This window comes from Homo sapiens, chromosome 7, assembly GCF_000001405.40.
Source record: "Homo sapiens chromosome 7, GRCh38.p14 Primary Assembly".
Taxonomy (NCBI): Eukaryota; Metazoa; Chordata; class Mammalia; order Primates; family Hominidae; genus Homo; species Homo sapiens.
In genome coordinates, this window is record NC_000007.14 from 112,274,368 (window position 1) to 112,295,145 (window position 20,778).

The following is a 20,778-nucleotide window of genomic DNA, read 5'->3' on the forward strand; positions in this document are numbered from 1 at the left end:
GCCAGTTTTGAGCTCCTGGGCTCAAGTGATCCTCCTGCATCAGCCTTTCAACATGCTGTGATTAGAAGCATGAGCCACAGCACCCTGCCTTTATTAACTTTTATAGGCCTAAAAAGAATCATTCTTTATCTGTTCCATAAAAACAAAACTATTTATTATGTTAAAATATTGGTTGTGTTCATGAATTAAGACATCAAACAGTAAAATAAAAATGTGTCATAGCTACTTAATTTTGTAAATAGGGATAATCTTAGCCCCATAACTCAGAAATTTATGATTCTATGTAAAACATTAATTATAATAGGGGGCATCAGATAGGTGATTTACAATTTTCTAGTTGCCAACTCATTTCATTAAAGTATTAACTAGACTACTATTTCCAAAGTAATACTCTGTCATATCAAATGAATTAAATTAGGTTAAATCCAACCTCTGTTAATGTACTGTGAAATTTCCATTGGGCATCACTTATTTAGAAAGTATAACACAGGCCAATAACCAATCAAATCTATCTGTGTCAGAGTTTACCTTCCCTTCTTTTCTATCTCTTCCTCTATAGAACCAAATAAATAAAAGCACTTACCAGTCACTTTGTTCCCATTCTTGCCAAAAAGCCTTTTGTTTGTCAGTGTCTTTTGTTACATTGGCCATCCTGTTCAGATCACTAGCTTGTTTGCAATGGGTTATTCTGGTTAATTAGATTTACCAGAACCAAGATTAGGATTTTAATGTCTTTTTTGCTTATTTTCCCCTTTACTGTTGAAAAATCATCCTACATTTATATTCCCAAATCCCTAATGTCTGCTCCTTCTACTGGTAGTAAGGAAATAACATTGAGAATTTAGTTCCTATTAGTATCTGCCTCTTAAAACACAGTATACACCCAGCCTTGAATTCTACTTAGAGCCCCAGCATTCCTAGTCCTGGCCCTATCAAAGTAAGAACTCGTAGTAGTCTTAATTTGAATGCTCTGAAGTATCTTCAGTAGTGCACAGTAAAAGCAGTAGAGAAAATGAAATGTCTTTGATGTGAAAGAGTATGTAAAGTAAGCATATAACATATAGTATGGTCCTTCATCCTTCATTTCATTTCCTTTTAGATTCTAAATCTCACTGGCATTAAACAGTAGAGTTATAGAAAGTATTTCTATAGAACTGAATATACTTGACCATATATGTTTTAAAGCGTATTTTTTAACACCAGAAATCTTGTCTGATTTAAATCTACAAATAAATCAATAATTTATCATATTAAAGAGGGATTTGTTTTTAATCCATTTATTTTCTCTTCCTAGTATTTATTTCTATCATGAATTTATAATATTTCAAAAAGCTGCTTCCACATCGTTGTTACTGTTGCATTATTAACGTAGACACCACTGATTCCTCTTTATGAAATTGATTAAGAAGGTATCATGTATAAACCAGAAACATTCATAATCTATAGCCAAGAAATGTAACCATTGCACCATTAGTTTCCCACTTTTTTACCAAAGTTGCTTGAGAAAGGAAGTTTAACCACATTTTCATCATTAGGTAGTTTGAAACTAAGAAATGCCACACGGAAATGGGGCAGCAGTCAAAATCTTAGAATCTGCAGTGCTTTGCTGACATAAGAGGGAAAGGAGCTTCATCAGTGTTGTATTGTCAACCATGTAATTCACCCATAGTATGGATAGGAAATCAAGCCATTTCTACAAAGAGGTCCACCTCAAGTCTACCAGATGGTTTGTTGCTGAGTCCATTTTTTAGTAGCTCCTGAACTCATTGAGAGTTTTCTAGACAAAAAGAATAGATTTGGAAATAACCAACTTCCCGGCCCATCGTGGGGGAATCTGATGGATGGATGGATAGTACCTTGGGAATGTATAAGAAAGAAATGTCTGGGTATTTCTAGAAAGGTTGGACATGTTAATAGCTTTAATATTTTGGTAGGATAGTTGCCAAATATTCTTATTCAACCCCTGCGTGTCTCATCTTTGCTATTGCTTATGCTTGCTTATAAATTGAACAAATGGGCTTCCCTAGAAACTGTCGGATGACAAAAGATGCTACAAAGCTTAACACCTAAAACAGAGTTTTCTTTATAGAATGAGAATGTAAAAATAAAAATTTGGACGGGGAGCAAAAGACTTGTTTTCCCTGAGTCTATGTGGAAAAATTTGTTGCCTTTTCTCAAATAAATTTTTGTTGTAGACAGGATGCAGTAATCTAGCCCTATTAGAGACTTTCCAGAATATATAACCCCATAATTTTAGAACCCACTCCTATTAATTATAGTAAATTATAGAAAATTAATTATAGCAATTATTATTAGTAAATTGCTGTGTTTATGTAAAGGTAACATGTTACTTCCAGAAACAGTAGTCCAAAGGGTTAACTTTAATGGTGGAGATTTCAGGCACTGTGATAACCAGATATTAAGAATTACATTTACCAAGGGTATTTATCTGTAGTTTCCATATTATGCCTTGTATAACTATGGCCTGTTCTGTCTTCAGGCTATTTCTGCTCTGACTGCAAAATGAGAATAACCAGAATGATGGTTATTTTAGTAAGTTATTTTGTTGTTTGAAATCCCAATTGAATGACACTATTCACTTACACATTATAAATAAAAATCGTGGATCAAATGATAGAAAATATAAGTAACAGGATACATGATTTTTAAATTTTTATGGGTCCCCAGAACCCTTTTAAGAATCTGTTGATTTTTTTTTTTTTTTTTTTTTTTTGAGACAGAGTCTCCCTCTGTCGCCCAGGCTGGAGTGCAGTGGCACGATCTCGGCTCACTGCAAGCTCCGCCTCCCAGGTTCACACCATTCTCCTGCCTCAGCCCCCTGAGTAGCTGGGACTACAGGCGCGTGCCACCAGCCCGGCTAATTTTTTGTATTTTTATTAGAGACGGGGTTTCACCATGTTAGCCAAGATGGTCTCGATCTCCTGACCTCATGATCTGCCCACCTCAGCCTTCCAAAGTGCTGGGATTATGGGCGTGAGCCACCACGCCTGGCCAAGAATCTATTAATATTAAATCAAGAGACTTTCTTCCCAGAAAAAATTAACATACACACAGTATTTATATAGTTTCCCATTGAATTCCCGAAACCCCAGTCTCTCAATCAAGTGCCCACTGACCTCAGGTTAAGAACATCTGCATAAATTCGATCTGTCTTGTCTAATAGACTAGTCAATAGCCACTTGTGGCTATTAAATTTAAATTAATTAAAACTAAATTAAAATTCAATTTCCAAGTCTCACTATTCATGTTTTAAATGCTCAATCTCCGCATGTGCCTAATAGCTACCATTGTTCGACAGAGTAGATATAGAGCATTTTTTTCATCACAGAAAGTTATGTTGAGCAGCATCAGGTTAGATGATTTTAAAATAGCCTATTTGTCTTATCATTATATTTATTTACCTATATGTGTTTATATAAAACTACATAGTTTGAAAACCCAGAATAGATATTGTAAAAATATCAGTCTCTTTTAGGCACCAAATACAAATCTATTGCTAAAACATATGTTTGACTAAAAGTAAGGCAGCAGGCTAACTTAGCTAGGCCTTCAGGACTGCCATAGGATCATTTGTTTTTTATCTTTTGTCTCCAAAAGATTGCATTCTCCATAGTGGTAGTTCCAAATCTTTTCCCCTTTTTTTAACCTTTGTCTTCAATATGAACAGAGCTTATCTCATATTCTCAGAAAACTGAGGCTATCAATATAAATCCCTTCACTTTTCCTTATGTCTGTATCAAAAATTTCCTTGTGTTTTCTCCCTTGTCTCTTAATTTAATGTTCTGCAGAAATAACAAAGTGATGAACAGAATGCAAAAGCCTTAGAATTTCAACAGTATAGTCAGGACCTAATAGTAGATATTTGGGAAGTAGGCTTATTCTGTTTTATTGAAAGTGATGGCAAAAACAGCAATTACTTTTGCACCAACCTAACCTCGGCTTCACTCTTATGTGATTTAATTCTTTAAATCTGTGTTGGGGCCCTAGAGTGTTTATTTTTAATTAATCCATAGGAATTGCTAATAGATATCAGTGCATATGATGCCCATCTCTCTTCATCCTCAAACATAAAACCATTCTCCTTATTACCAGGATTAGTGATAGGAACTAACCTATAATTGACCATGTGTGTCAGACACTCATGTGCTTTACATTAATTTCTTTGTTTAACACTTAGAACAACTCTGTCGGGTGGAACACTCTATCAGGTGGATATTTTGATTAATTCATTTTATGTTGTGGAAACAGGCTAAGAAAGGTTAAATAACTTGGTCAGGGTTGGTTAATGGGAAGTAATGGGACCATAATTCCTCCAGCCTTGACTTTTCTCTCCTGCTCTCCATTTTTTAAAATTATGGTTAAAAAAAATACATAACATGAAATCTATCCTCTTCACAAATTTTTTAATGTACACTACTATTAAGTATATGTACATTATTGTACAACAGATCTCTAGAACTTTTTCATCTTCCATTACTGAAATTCCATACTCATTAAACAGTAATTCCCCTTTTCCCCACTTTCCCCAGCCCTGGCAACCACCATTCTACTTTCTGCTTCAGTAAGTTTGACTACATACCTCATATAAGTAGAATCGTGTAGTTCGTTTTCCTTCTGTGACTGGCTTATTTCTCTTATAATATCTTCAAGGTTCATTCCTTTTAAAAAAGGCTGAATACTATTCATTGTATTTAAATACTACATTTTCTTTGTCTATACATCTATTATTTCTGCCTCTTGGCTATTCTGAGTAATGCTTCAATGAATATAAAAGTACAAATATTTCTTTGAGATCTTGTTTTCAATTCTTTTGGATAAATAACCAGAAGTGGGGTGGCTGGCTCATATGATAGTTCTATTTTTAATTTTTTGAAGAACCTCCGAATTGGTTTTGATAGCATAAGGTGCATCACTTTACATTCCCACCAACAGTACACAAGGTTATCAATGTATCTACATCCTTGCCAACACATGTGATTTTCTGGGTTTTTTTTAGTAATAGCCATCTTAGGAGGTACGAGATGATATCTCATTGTGGTTTTGATTTCCCTTTCCCTGGTGATTAGCACCTTTTCATATACCTGTTGGATGTTCGTATGTCTTCTTTGAAGAAATGTGTATTCCAGTCCTTTGCTTATTTTTTAATTTGGTTTATTTGGGTTTTATGCTACTGAGTTGTATGAGTTTTTAATATACAGCTGACCCTTGAACAATTCAGGGATTAGGGTCACCAGCTCCCTGCCTAGTCGAAAATCTTGTGTATAACTTTTTACTCCCTTAAAAGGTAAGGAGCCTACTGTTGACCAGAACATAACAGTCAATTCACACGTATTTTGTATATATATTATATACGGCATTTCTAACTATAAAATAAGCTAGAAAAAAGAAATATTTTTAAAAAACATAAGAGAAAATATATTTACTACTCAAGAAGTGGAAGTGGATCGTCATAAAGGTCTTTATCCTCATTGTCTTCCACTTGAGTAGGCTAAGGAGAAGGATGGATTGGTTGTGCTGTTTCAGGTGTGGCTGAGGCTGAAGATATGGACAAAGTGGAAGGGGATGCAGGAGAGATGGGCACACTAGGTGTAAACTTCTATTGAAATAAATTCCTGTGTAATTTATTTCCTGGATGTGCATAGTTCAAATTCGTGTTCTTTGAGGGTCAACTGCATGCTGGATATAAATCCCTTTTTGTTGACTCAGAGCAGCGTGTGGGAGGCTTAGCTTCAGTGCAAATGGGATTTCAGGGCACCACACCTGAGGTCCTCTTGTCAATTATGCTCATGGCAACAGGAGCTTTGAATGGCACGTTTCCATGGCCATTACACCTACTGAATCAGGATCTGCATTTTAACAAAACCTACAAGTGATTTATGTGCACATTGAAGAAGTATGAGAAGCGCTTCCCTAGAATAATAATTTGACACTTTGAGGGTCTTCCCCAGAATCAATAAAAATGTTAATAATCAGCATAGAATCTCCTAAAAAATTCAACTTCCTTGGAATGGTGTTTTTTTACAGTTCATTTGAACAGAGTTGCTGTTCAAAGTGAGAACTAGAGCAGATAATTTGTTGTTAATGTGTAACACATGTGCAAAGTGGATTTAGGGCCAAAGCAGAATTTCCAAGATGTTTGCCTCTTTGCTAAAAGGAGAAAGGATAGACGTGATTTACTTCCTTTTGTATTTTAGGGTTCAAGGTCCCTGTGGCAGAGGATTATATATTTCTGTATCTATTGTCTTTTTTTTTTTTGAGACCAAGTCTCACTCTGTCACCCAGACTGGAGTGCAGTGGCACGATCTCAGCTCACTGCAACTTCTGCTCCCCGGGTTCAAGCAATTCTCCTGCCTCAGCCTCCCGAGTAGTGGGGACTACAGGTGCCAGCCACCACGCCCGGCTAATTTTTTTGTGTTTGTAGTGGAGATGGGGTTTCACCGTGTTGCCCAGGCTAGTCTTGATCTCCTGACCTCAAGTAATGCGCCCACCTCAGCCTCCCAAAGTGCTGGGATTACAGGCATGAGCCACCGCGCCCAGCCCCTATTGTCTTTTACCATGGAGTAAGATATAAATGTGACACTTGTAGTGACAGCTGGAAGTAATCTGTCAGACAAATCTTACTGAATTATGTCTGCTCTCCAGTGCTTAGTAATTTAGAGACTCTCTGTTGGACAGAATAGACTGTCAGATAAGCCTTGCCGCAAGGCCATGTCACCTAATTTATGGGCTTTTCCTTAGGTTTAAAATACCCACACTGTTATATGATCAGGATATTCACAATCCTCGTGTGATCATCCTCTGAACCACTGATTTCCAGGCAGTGGTCTAGGGACTACGGCTTGGTAAAAATTACATTTTCTAAGTCTACAGTAAGGTCTTGAAGTCAGTATTTTTTAAAAAGCTCTCCAGGTGATAAAACTCAAATTTGGAAACCACTGCTCTAAGCTAAAATGTATTCAGGATTCAGGTCTATCTCATATAAACATCCTCTGGTAGAGTGGTATTACTTACTCTGAATTCCAAATGCCACTTGTTCCTTGCTTACTGGGGAGTATACTTACATGAAGAGTGAAAAAATAATTTAAAAATTTCTAATTTAATATAACATACTTTTATTACTCTCAGCAATATTTATTGTTATCTTAGAATTCAATGTAATTTTTACATCATTGCTTATTATTTACTAGTGGGCCTGTTACGCCAAGGCCCATAGCACTAAACATCTGGCTGTAAATATAGTTGGACTACGCACAATCTCAGGCAGAGAAAGTTCCCCTAAAGACAGCCACAGGTGTTCCCTGAAACAGGACTTTCCTAGAAACTGAGTACCTTCGGTCCATTATTCATTCTTTTATGTCTTCATTCAGCAGATATTTATCAAATACCAGCCATTCGATAGCTATTTCAGCTATTCCAGGCCACTGGATTCTTTTTTATTTATTTTTATTTATTTTTTTCTTTCAAGATGGAGTCTTGCTCTGTCACCCAGGCTGGAGTGCAATGGCATGATGTTGGCTCACTGCAACCTCCACCTCCTGGGTTCAAGCAGTTCTCCTGCCTCAGTCTCCCGAGTAGCTGGGATTACAGGCCTGTGCCACCACGCCCTGCTAATTTTTGTATTTTCAGTAGAGACGGGGTTTCACCGTGTTGGCCAGGGTGGTCTCAAACTCCTGACCTTGCGATCTGCCTACCTTGGCCTCCCAAAGTGCTGGGATTACAGGCATGAGCCACCACACCAGCTACATGAAAATACATAAGACTTAGTCCTTGACCTTAAGGAGTTCACAGACTAGCACAGTAATAGAGGTATACACATAAATAATTAATTACAACAGAGATATTTGCTCTTGTTGGGCATGGAGAGATGGGGTGGGCCAAGCCCACAGGAGAACCTGGAGAAGGGCCTGGAAGACAGAATAGTACAAATGCATCACATAAGACACCAGTCTGTGCTGCCCTTATGTATCGGACATAAGAGGAATGTCTAACTTCTGAACAGCTCAAGTGAGTACATTTAAAATATAATTTATTATCCTTCCCTGCCATAAAACAAACAAAACCTGCTTTTCTACATGTATTCCTTGACTAGTGACTGGCACTTCATTTTGTGCTATCTCCCCAGCCAGGAACATGGGAGGCTTCGCCTTAACTCCCTGTAGCCAGTCAGTAATCAAGAACTGTACATTTAACCTCTATCCCTCTCCTCTCCTCTATCCACTGCTATTGCTGCTGCCTCAGACAAGCCCTCAGGCTTAGACACTGCAGTAGTTTCCCACCTGGTCTCCCTAGATTGAGACCTTCCTCTTTCCAGTCCATTCTCATATCAGTTTAGAACATAAGTGGCTTTACTTCCTATAGGAAAAGATCTAAACTCTTATGTATTAGTTAAGAGTGCTAAAGTGTAAGCAAGACTGGTTGGATTCAAACCCTGGCTTCATCACTTGATAGCTGCAGGCAGGTCATTTCACCTCTCACCCCCTCAGTTCCTTCATCTGTAAAACAGAGATGGAAGTGGAATCTCCTTCATAGGGTTATTGTGAGGGTTAATTGAGTTAATACTGTACATGTGAAGTTAACAATGCCTGGCACAAAATAAATACACAATGATTATATTAGTCATAGTGGGGTAGCAGGTTAATTCAGTGTACATGCCAGGTAAATAAAGACAACTAGGACTTACTTTGCCTTCTAAGGGCTAACAGCCTGAAGTGGGGCAAAGAAGATGAAGAGATAAACAAATTACTCCATATGATCAATGCTGTTATAATTTTGAGCAAGGTGCCAAAAAATCATTTGGGAATCAGAGAAAACTTTAAAATCTTCTTATCTAAAAATGTTATATTAAAACTTATTTTCTGGCTGGGTGCCGTGGCTAACGCCTATAATCCCAGCACTTTGGGAGGCCAAGGCAGGAGGCTCACTTAAGGTCAGGAATTGGAGACCAGCCAGGCCAGCGAAACCTGGTCTCTACTGAAAATACAAAAATTAGCAGGGTGTAGTGGCAGGCACCTGTAATCCCAGCTACTCGGAAGGCTGACACAGGAGACTCGCTTGAACCTGGGAGGCGGAGGTTGCAGTGAGCTGAGATTGTGCCCCTGCACTCTAGCCTGGGCAACAGAGTGAGACTCTGTTACATACTAACTCAAGCCCCCAAATACAACTTAATACCTCGCAAACCACAAGTTTCTCTTGCATGAAATTTGCATATTCATGATTTTGTTTCTAGACCTTTGCAGTAACCACAGGCAGTTTGGTTCTCATATGTGTGAATATTTAGGTCCATTCTCTTAGGAACAATTTGAAAAAAGAGAAACTGAGCATTAGACATACAAAAGGGAAAAACAAGTGAACCACAGAGGAATAATAGACTGCAATAAAACCTTGGGAAAAAATAAAGAAAATTATGGAGATGAACTGTACTCTAGTGATTTTTGGACAATGTGGGCTACTGATATTTGCATAAGAATTGCTATGGGGTATTAGGGAGACTGGAGGACATTGTCAGAGTACATATAAAGACAAAGTAGCTTATAAATGTATATATATAACTTCACAGCACCAAATATACATACTAAAGAAGAAACAGTTGGAGAAATGCCATTTGGTACAGGGAGCAGAACAGCATAGTGTTTGAGTTTAGGCTCAACTCAGAATGTTTAGGCTACTGACTAACATTGTGACTTTGGGAACTTAGTTAAGTTTTCTAAATCTTGATTCTCTCATCTGGAAGATTGGATTATGGTAGTACTACTGAATAAGATAGTTAGAATTAATTAGGAAAATGTCCTAACACACCTTGCAGGTAATTTGCAAATAGCAAGTAGCTGATAAATGTTAGTTGTGCTGTTGATTATTATTAATACCATAGGCTTGTTTTCAGCAGTCAAACCAATAAATTTCTGTATATCTCAATTAAATCTGTGGAAAGGATGTAATATAGTACTTGTTATTTCCTACATGGCAGGTAATAATTACTAATGTTACCTTTATTTAGAATATGCTGCCTTTTGTAGCTATATACTAGTGGATGTAAAATACTATCATAGAGTTTCATAAGTATATTACTTATCTCTCTTCCTCCATTCTGTTTTTCACATTTGAGTTTAAATGCCTATGAAAGTTAACCTACTACTAAAAAATATAACCTACAACTGAAGAACTGTAGAATTCCAGAACTCCTTGATTTCATTACCTAATTTAATAAATATAGTAATTGATAACACCAGTTTTGTTAATAGTGCTTCTAAAGGGCTTATGTATTTTAAATATTCTCCGTACTGTCATGTATATCCTATGTGTTTTCACCTTCTCTGATATTAATTTTGTGAACAAAAATAAACAGTTTGATTTAGCATACTTTAATGTGACTAGAGTATGTTTGGGTGATGTATTAGAGACCCTCTTCTATGGGACACCTTCCTTCTCCAGCTCAGTTAAGTGACTCCCCCAACCGCTGCTGCTGTAAACCCTGTACATTCTCCATTTCTTTATATTTTTAACTTACTTGTACCTTCAAACAGACTGTGAGCACTTTAACCTTGGTAGCACTGAACATCATGCAACATCGAACATCCCTGTAGATAGTCAGTTGATTTTTGTTAAGTGAATGAATGAATGCTGCCCTCTTACATTGCTTATATAATTTCTTTTTTTTCTTTTTGAGACAGAGTCACGCTCTGTCACCAGGCTGGAGTGCAGTGGCATGATCTCTGCTCACTGAAACCTCCACCACCTGGGTTCAAGCAATTCTCCTACCTCAGCCTCCCAAGTAGCTAGGACTACAGGTGTGCACCACCACGCCCAGCTTATTTTTGTATTTTTTTAGTAGAGACACGGTTTCACCATGCTGGCCAGGATGGTCTTGATCTCTTGACCTTGTGATCTGCCCGCCTCTGCCTCCCAAAGTGCTGGGATTACAGGCTTGAGCCACCACACTTACATAATTCTTAAGCCATGGTCACCAGTGTACCAGTGACTGATTCAATTAATTCATAAATTAAGAATGCCTTTAAAAAGAAGATAAAGTAAGAAAAAAAAAATAGGAAATTTTTTTTTTTTTTTTTTGGAATGATGTCTAGCCCTGTCACCCAGGCTAGAGTGCAGTGGCGCCATCTCAGCTTACTGCAACCTTCACTTCCCAGGTTCAAGCAAGTCTCCTGCCTCAGCCTCCCGAGTAGTTGGGATGACAGGCACACACTACCACACTTGGCTAATTTTTTGTATTTTTAGTAGAGACGGGGTTTTACCATGTTGGCCAGGCTGGTCTCAAACTCCTAACCTCATGATCCGCCCACCTCGGCCTCCCAAAGCTCTGGGATTACAGATGTGAGCCACCGCACTTACATAATTCTCAAGCCATGGTCACCAGTGTACCAGTGACTGATTCAATTAATTCATAAATTAAGAAAACCTTTAAAAAGAAGATAAAGTAAGGGAAAAAAATAGGAAACTTTAACGGGAGAACTAATATTAACCTAATTCTGAAAACTTGTCTGTGGCTTAGTTTTTGTGTCTTTCTTTCTGAAGAAGGTTCTCTTCTTTCTGAAGGTTGCCTGACTTTCTGCAAATGCCAGAGGCCTTACCCTAGTTTCTTTACCCCAGTTTCCTGATTACTAACTACTAAATAGCCTGTATAAGGTGACAGGTGTAGACGTCCACTCTGGCAGACTAAAGGGGGCTACTGTCACGACTGGCTGTGGTTTTAGGCTCTGAAATGAGAGACATAGACTTTACACATACTTCAGCTCTTAAAGATGCTGTAGAAGATGTTAGGAAGAGGAATAATATAGCCAGGAAAAATGTTTACCACATCACATATGTCTAGTGATCGAGCAGTCATCTATTTGTTCACAGAAGCCTGAATTGTAATGCATACTTGTGTAATAGGCAAATGATAAACATAAGTCAACATAGAAAATTGCCATGAGGGCCACCCAGCACATACTGTGTCTACCCAGCGTGAGAGCTTTGTTCTTGTTTGTGACAAATAATCAGAAACAGGAAAGAGTTTGCAGATGCGACAGGAAGCAACTTAACAGACAGGCCTGGCATCATCTGTCGCCTTAATGTATACCATTTATTCCCTTGGTGTGATGATTCTTAGCCATAGGTCACAATTGAGCCTTAGAACCTTAACCCAGAGTGTTGCAGCCTTCCCCCTTGCAAGTACCCCGGGAATTGCTGCCATTGGCCAGTGTCCAAGAAGAAGGCTTGAACAGCTGCCCTGACAAATGGGTTTCCCCCATTCAAGCAAGCAAATGAGGGGTTTGAGCTGCTTTGCAATACTCCCTGCCTCTGGGCTACAAACACTGTTTAAAATGATAATAAAGTATCCTACTCTCCAGCACTATGTATTTTTCTTTTTGGAGACATGTAAATATCTTTAGGATCTTTTTAATGCAGGAGGTGGGAAATCATCCATATGAAGAGTTGGTTTCAGCTTTTCTTTCTTTCTTTTTTTTTTTTTTTTTTTGGTCTATTCCAGACAGTAAGGATTGTATCCTGGAGCCGCTTTCCCTGCCAGAAAGTCCAGGTGGCACCACCACTTTAGAAGGTTCTCCATCTGTGCCTTGTATTTTCTGTGAAGAACATTTTCCTGTGGCTGAACAAGACAAACTTCTGAAGCACATGATTATTGAGCATAAGATTGTCATAGCTGATGTCAAGTTGGTTGCTGATTTCCAAAGGTAAGTTCTGTTTTTGTCCTTAAAAGAATTAAATTTGACCATGTGTGGTGGCTCATGTCTGTAATCCTAGTACTTTGGGAGGCCAAAGTGGGAGGATCACCCGAGGCCAGTAGTAGTTCAAGATGCCAGCTCTAAAAACAAAATTTAAAAATTATCTAGGATCAATGGCATGCACCTGTAGTTCCAGCTACTTGGGAGGTTGAGGCAGGAGGGCTGCTTGCACCCATGAGTTCGAGGCTGCAGTGAGTTATGGTTATACCATTGCACTCCAGCCTGGGTGACAGAATGAGACCCTGTCTCTTAAGAAAGAGAATTAAATGTATTGTTTGTTAAAGGAGTGACATAATCTATATATAAAATAATTCCCATACAAATATGAAAATTCATATTCATTTTCAGGTTTCTCCTTAGACTTAAAAAAAAAAACTTTACAACTCTTTTGTACTTCTGAGACTTTTTTTTTTTTTTTGAGATGGAGTTTTGCTATTGTCACCCAGGCTGGAGTGCAGTGGCACGATCTCAGCTTGTTGCAACTTCTGCCTCCCATGTTCAAGCGATTCTCCTGCCTCAGCCTCCTGAGTAGCTGGGATTACAGGCACCTGCCACCACGCCCAGCTAATTTTTGTATTCTTAGTAGAGATGGGGTTTCACCATGTTGGCCAGGCCTGTCTCGAACTCCTGAGCTCAGGTGATCTGCCCACCTCAGCCTCCCACAGTGCTGGGATTACAGGCATGAGCCACTGCACCCAGCCAACTTCTCAGACTTTAAAAAAATCTTTACATTATTTTTCTTGAGTCTGTAAGTTTGAGAATGTCACATACTAATTTATTTTCTATAAGTTCTCTAAAGAGATGAACTTTCCAAAGAGTAGATAATACTCACTTTGCAGCATTCCATGACATTGTAGATCTTATTGATGTCTCCCAGATTATGTCTCATGTTTTAGGCCATAGACATTCTCTGAGTGGGTCCTTCCAGTAATTCCAGAATAGACTTGGCAACAGGACACTCAAAAGGCAGTGTTTGGGAATGGGATCCTTGGAGACTTTCAAGCCAAAAGGATATTGCCCAAACAAATCTCAGTTTAAATGTTGTGATGAGGTTGATTCCTTTTTTCCCAATTTATAATTTCTGGAAGTAGTTGTCCAAGAGAAATACCTTCCCTGTATAGTTACTGAAAGCATAAAATTTGGTGTATCTGGTAAGGTCCCATTTTGAGGTATTCTGTCCTGATTTCCCCATAAAACATTGTAGTAGCCCAGACATTGAATACCCCTGCATCTAAACTCTGTTTCTCCCAGGCCATATAAAACATTCCTAGCAAACAGCTTCTTTCTTATGATAGGTCTTGCAAAAGAGCAAGCTGTATTATTAAGAGCTGACTATGAAAGTAGGAAAGCCTGGGGTTGAGTGCAGGCTTTCACACTTCCTAATCTTGTGATTTCCTGCCAAGCTACCTAACTACTCTAAGCATTGATTTTCTCATCTATAAAATGGGGGTAACACCAGCCCTCATGGTTATTGAATATTACATAAAACAAAGTATGGAATGTGAGGGCGATCTGGCTGTGACATCTGTCACCCCATTAATCGCCAGGGTTGATTCGGCTGATCTGGCTGGCTAAGTGGCTGTCCCCTTCCTCCCTCACCACTCCATGTTCATGCCTCCCAAAGCTGTGTTCTCAGTCAAAGAGGACAACCATCTCCACTAGAAGAGGACCAGTCTTTGGTCAAGGGTATACGAGTAGCTGCGCTTCCCTGCTGGAACCTCCAGACAAGCTCTCAAGTCCATTTGTAGGAGAACATAGGGTAGTCAAGCTTCCAAGATTCCAGACACATCCAAATGAAGTGCTGCATGTGGCAGTCTGCCTTTCTTAAAAAAAAAAAAAAAAAAAAAAAAAAAAGAAGAGTATGTGTAGCATCTGCTAGTGCCTGAGACATGTGTACCTGATAAATGGTAGATAAAATGCAAAATTTTATTTGTATTTTTATCACCGAAGGTATATTTGAAATCTTAGTTTTCTGCAGCTATCGTTTGAGTTTTCCATTTGTATTTATGCTAATCTAAAAACCTAATTATCATTTGTAAAATATAGCTTTTGAGAAAATTTCATTCAAGTTTCTAAATAATCTAAATTTTTGGAAAGATAGTTTAAGTTGGAATAGCCAGCATACCCACAGGGGTAATGATAACTATTCTCTAGCCTTCATCTCTGTCCTTATTGCCTAGCACCAATACTGAATATTTACCATGTGCCTTCTGTGTATGTTGCCTTATATCGACTCAGCACTACTATTTTTCAAGAGATTTTGGTGCTGCCTTATCAGGTCTCAGAGATAGGAGGACAGTTAATTGAATGATATATATTGCCAACTGCTAAAATAAACTAATTCCCTACATGCTCTCATAGGACATACTCTCTGCTCCTCATTATCATTTGTTATTCTTTATTCTCATTAAAATATATGTGTGTGTATGTCTTTATTCTCAGAGTATTCTGGGAGCTTTCTTATATGCAACCCAGTTATATGTGGTGAGATCTGTTGATTTTGTTTCAGACACTTCTTAGGCTAGAGATCTTCTAATTCATACTCAACCATTGAAAGAAATACTACATAGGTTATTCTTTCCTAAGGCTTCTATTAGTCAGCTTTTCTTTAATATGAAACCTTTATTTTTCTTTTTGAGTCCTGGCTGGAGTGCAGTGGCACGACCTTGGCTCAGTACAACCTCCACCTCCCTGGCTCAAGCAATCCTTCCACCTCAGCCTCCCCAAGTAGCTGGGACTACAGGCATGCACCACTACGCCTGGCTAATTTTTTTTTTTTCTTATACTTTAAGTTTTAGGGTACATGTGCACATTGTGCAGGTTAGTTACACACGTATACATGTGCCATGCTGGTGCGCTGCACCTAATTTTTTATGTTTTTAAATTTTTATGGTTTCACCATGTTGCCCAGGCTGGTCTAGAACTCCTGGGCTCAAGCAATCCACCCACCTCGGCCTCCTGAAGTGTTGGGATTACAGGTGTGAGCCACCGTGCCTAGCCATGAAACTGTTCTTTTATTCCCTTTTATCATATAAACACAAATTTTCCTTCAGGAATTGCAGAAGAACAGTATTAACTACCAGTGATAATTGAATAGTTTAAGATTTTTCTTTCTCCTCTGCCCGTAAAGTATGTGAGGAATGTCTGAATCAGAGTTTGTATTCTCCTTTGTGCTTATGTGTCATAGTTAAGTAGCTATATTTGTACTAATCAATCTCTCTATTTGTATCATTGTTATTAATCTCATTATCCTAATATGCATACGTGGGCAGAAAAATTGAATTATTTACTAGGTCTCGGGACTTAGGAGTCAGTAATTAAATGCTGGGATTATTCATGCTCTAAATGCAGATATACAATAAAATGGATGCTTTAATTAAAAAGAAAAGGATGCATATCTGATATAAGTGCTTTCTAAAGTGTATCTTTAACATGTATTTGAAATATGGAAACCTAGATTTTCCTTGTCAACTGTCCTTCTAATTAAGTAAAATTTTCACTCTCAGCAAGTATAAATGTGATTAATTCTGATTGATCAGGCATGTATCTGAGTAAACTCTGTTGCTTTTAAATACCTTTGACTGTATCCAGTCTTCTTTAGATAATAACCTCCTACTACTTAAGGAAACTAAAAATTCCTCTCCCAAACAATCCAGGTATTGATTGTTATGATCAAAGTTAAGTTGGAATCTTTTCAACATCATGTAACTTGTTTCTAATTTTAGAAGACAAGGTATAAGGTGTAGGGTTGGGAGGAGGGAACATGAGAGATTTATTTGGCATGAACACATTCACTCAGAACTCAAGAGGAATTGTTGCTTCTGAGTACAATAGATAATGAAGATGATAATAAATAAGAGATGGACTTACCTTGTGGTTTACAAGAAGTAAGCTATAAGTTTTCATACTAAATATATAATTTTTTATGAAACAAAATAACACTAAAACTTCCTGGGGCAGGAGAAATAAAAACAAAAATAAAAATCTTTCCATTGAGTCCATTTAACATAGTTATTTATACTGAGCTATTTGCTAGCTTTATTCAGTAGATAAAATTGCTCTGGAAAATAAATGTTAACTTCTTATTTCTTACCCTTTTCTATATTAAATTCCACACATTCACTGCTACTTAATTAACAACCATATTTCAAACCTTTATGACTATGTCAATAACCATACCAATTACAGTGAGGGTGGGCAGGCAAGATATTGCAACAAGGATTTTTTGTGAGACAATTCTGTGAGACATGATTTGAAGTTCCTTTGGAAGAAAAAAAGTATTTGCTGATGACCTAGTAATTACTTTTATAGATTTTTAATGAAGTATGAAATACTTTGATAACTCATCCAAATAGAGTTCCTACCACATGTTATTTCTTAGTGGCCTTTATATATTGAGTAGCTGCAATTGTAGCTTTCAGTAAACTAGAGAAGTAGGAAAAATACAGAAGAGAAGTACTAAATGAGCTCTTAAATTTGAACAGTGTTCTAGTGAGTGGGAAAAAATGCCACAAGAAGCATGTACTGAAGATCTGCTATCTTTATTCTATCACTCAGTTGATTACAATTTATCTGAATGCCCATACCATCCGAAAGGAAATGTATATATTGACACCTCTTAATTATAAGCTTAAAAACCACTATTATGTGTTTAATAACTAGGATGTTTCTTTACTCAAATTTAGACATAGGTCAAATGTATGTTGTTGTTGTTGTCTATAGTATACCACAGTAAGATATGATGCCTAATTTTATATGTTTAAGTTGTATGATGGTTTATGGTTATATTTTGCTTTGTAACAGATGATTTTTTTTTCTTTGATGTTGTTGTCACCCAAGTTTTGGTTAGGAAGAGAACACTCAAATGACAACTTTGTTCCTCTTGGACCAACCTATTACCTGCTTTATCCCATGGGAAACACTTCCTATTTGAGGAGGGCAACCGAGGTTCTGCCAGGCAGAATCTCCCCATGATTCTAAGTTAATTGATGTCAGTAATTTCTTCCCATGTGCATATCACCTTGAAGTAAACTCTGATGGAAAGTAAGCATGTCATGTGATTCTTCTCTTCAGACATCAAAGAGACAGTACTCAAACATAGAAGTTTTTGGAAACTGAGACCCACTGACTATTGGAATCAGGCTCCTGTTACCTCTGTAGTGGAACTTCTCTGCACCCTTTCCTTGCCTAGTTAAGCAGTTCCAAAACAGCCCCAAACAGTTGGTGTCAATTTTCAGCCCTTAGGTAGCAACTTAGGAGCAGTTCAGACTGAGGGCTACTGTTAAGTAGTATGCCTTTCGGAAGGGGAAAACATTCTCTTCCTCTTCAGACTTCATTTCTGTACTTCTGGTTCTGCCTTGTCAAAAAGCATTCTATGTGACCTCATTGGTCTCTGAGGGGAAAAAAATGCTTCAACTCTCTATTACAACTTTAATTATAGGGGCTCTTTCCTGTCCCTGCCTTCCCTTTTCTGCATTTCTTGTACCGATTCGTCCCCACATGACACTAGAGGAACTGTGTTGTAGAAGATTGAGTTTGGCCTTGGAGCCAGAGAGACAAAGTTCACATCTCAATTCTAACATTTTAATTGACCTTGGGCAAGTAAGGACTCATTAAATGGTAGCTGCTAATAATTGTCATTATTGTCACTATCATCATTCTTCTCTTCTACCACTTTAGCCACCTATATGTGCCCTCTGACGCTATTAATATAACTATTTTGTCTTTTTCATCAAATGTTTGCTGAAATGTTGTTGTTGTTTTTGTTGTGTGTCTCATTATTTCCCTGGGATAAATATAAATTATTCACTACCTTAGTCTTATTTAAATATGTTACTTTTTCTTATAGTAATAACTGTCATATATATTAAACACCCAGAATTTTGGACAGCGTGCTTTACATGCATTATTCTATTTAATTATCAACAATTTATTTTGCACATGAATAAACTGAGTTTCAGAAAGATTAAATAACTTTAAGTTCAGGTTCATACCTTTGAATTCAAAGTCCTTGCTTCTCTATTCACCATTGCCTCCGGGGTGGTAATTAATACATTAACTATGATACTTTGACCACTGTCTTAATTTAAAAAGCAAAACTGCTTCTAGCATAAGATCTGTGCAGATAAGCAAGGGACAATATTGATTGTCCATTTAAAAAAAAGTCATTGGCCAGGCACAGTGGCTCTCACCTGTAATCCCAGCACTTTGGGAGTCCAAGACGGGCAGATTGCTTGAGCTCACAAGTTCAAGACTAGCCTGGGCAACATGGCAAAACCCCATCTCTACAAAAAAAATAGGAAAATTAGTTGGGCATGGTGGTGCGTGCCTATAGTCCCAGCTACTCGGGAGGCTGAGGTGGGGAGGATGTCTTCAGCCCAGGAGGCAGAGGTTGCAGAGAGCTGAGATCACTCCACTGCACTCCAGCCTGGGCAATAGAGCCAGATCTTATCTCAAAAAAAAAAAAAAAAAGTCATTAATAATTCAAAGAGCAGTCTGTTCACGAGGATCCAAGCTCTTGCCTGGTCATCTGTTCCACATGGTTTCACACAGATACTTTTCTAAGACTGTGAACATTTTCCAAAGTAAAGTAGTCTGTGTATTCAAGGAGTTATCACTGCCTTTCAACAGGCTCTAGACCCAAAATGGAACTAATTATATAGGGCTGACCACTAGTCTCCGTTTTGTCTAGAGGATACCATCCAGATAGTCCTCAATGGAGTGGCAACCAGGACTGACGATCCACTCCTTGGTGTATTCTAGCAGTAGCAGTAGGGAACCTCCAGAGGGAACTTGGCCTTCCTGTCTTTTGAAGTCAGTTATCTTAGCACCTGGTTCTGCCATGTATAAATTTGATTAATCATGAAAATAGATGTCTATATTTCAATTTAGAGGAATAATCCATCTTCTGTTCTAACATCTCTAATACAGGTTCTACTGTGTTCCTTCATCCCTGTCACCACTTTGTAATAGAAAATGTGCTTGGGGGAGAATAAGAAAAGGACTAGGAATGTCATTTTTATTCTCTTAAGCCTCCTCTTGTCTTCTCTTTCCCCTTTTTTCCTCTCTACCATGGGGTGGTGGGGAAAGCAACTAGTGAGGAATGGAAAGATAGAGACTAGGAGTAGCCATGTAGGAGACTGAGGAGTACAACGTGTTGAAGCTGGCCCAGGATGGCTAAGGAAATAATGTCCCAGCCTTTTGTAGGTACTTTTTCTCTATTTATCTGCTGTGATGGATCCAATATGCACTTGCCTTCTTCTGAGATTTCTAATATGGAAGCCAGTGAGTTAGCCAAGGAGTAGGGTGCATCATTTATATATTTGTGGTTTAAGGCTCAATGGGAGCTTAAGATTGCCATTTTAAGATCTCCTAGAATACAAGTTAGCACTGTTTTATAAGGAAAGGGTTCTCCCCTTACTTACCCATCAAAGTTAACAGTGTGGTTGTACAGGAGAAGAAAAACTTAAACATGGGATTCTATTTTTATACACTATTCATTGGCTTCTTTTTCTTACATATTCTATATTCATTCAGTGTATTTTTATTTGATGTCAGCTCGTGTCATGTTTATCTCTTTCTCCCAGACCTCTCTCCAGCACAGACTTCTAATACACAAATGCCCTTTCCATAGAGCACCATGGTATTGGAAAATTAATGTTAAGAAAAAAATTAATAATAAAAAGGAGACAAAATATTGGGAATTGGGGACTACTTAGAGAACTTTACAGGAATCTTCAAATTCTCTACTTCTTTAAAACATTTACTGTGGACCTAATATATCCAAAACATTCCTAGATGTGCTAAGTCAAGCCATTTAAAATGTCCAAATTTCTACTCTTTCTATATTCTTCATCTATTTCAATAAGTCCCATTTCTTTTTTTGGTTCTTTGGTGTAAGTTACTTGTTTTGTCCCTCAGTTGTGTGGCCTGATAAATTGGGAGCTATAGAATCAAGCTTTCCTTTTCCTCTCTCTATGAAGATAACACTCTCTTCTTGGTACCATTCAATAAATGAGAT

At 37.9% G+C, this 20,778-nt stretch overlaps 1 protein-coding gene and 1 pseudogene across 3 annotated transcripts in view; both read left to right on the forward strand.

The window, feature by feature from the left end:
* The window catches only part of ZNF277 (zinc finger protein 277), a 137,240-nt gene that overhangs the window by 67,673 nt on the left and 48,789 nt on the right, over positions 1–20,778 (forward strand). For 2 of the 3 annotated variants that reach the window (XM_011515768.4, XM_017011720.3), the window contains exon 2: positions 12,510–12,707. In XM_011515768.4, the coding sequence (XP_011514070.1) occupies positions 12,649–12,707 (59 nt within the window). In that variant the 5' untranslated portion in view covers positions 12,510–12,648. Of the gene's footprint in view, positions 1–12,505; positions 12,708–20,778 lie in introns of all 3 variants that reach the window. The other variant, NM_021994.3, reaches the window with a different exon arrangement.
* RN7SKP187 (RN7SK pseudogene 187) lies at positions 14,258–14,584 on the forward strand (annotated as a pseudogene).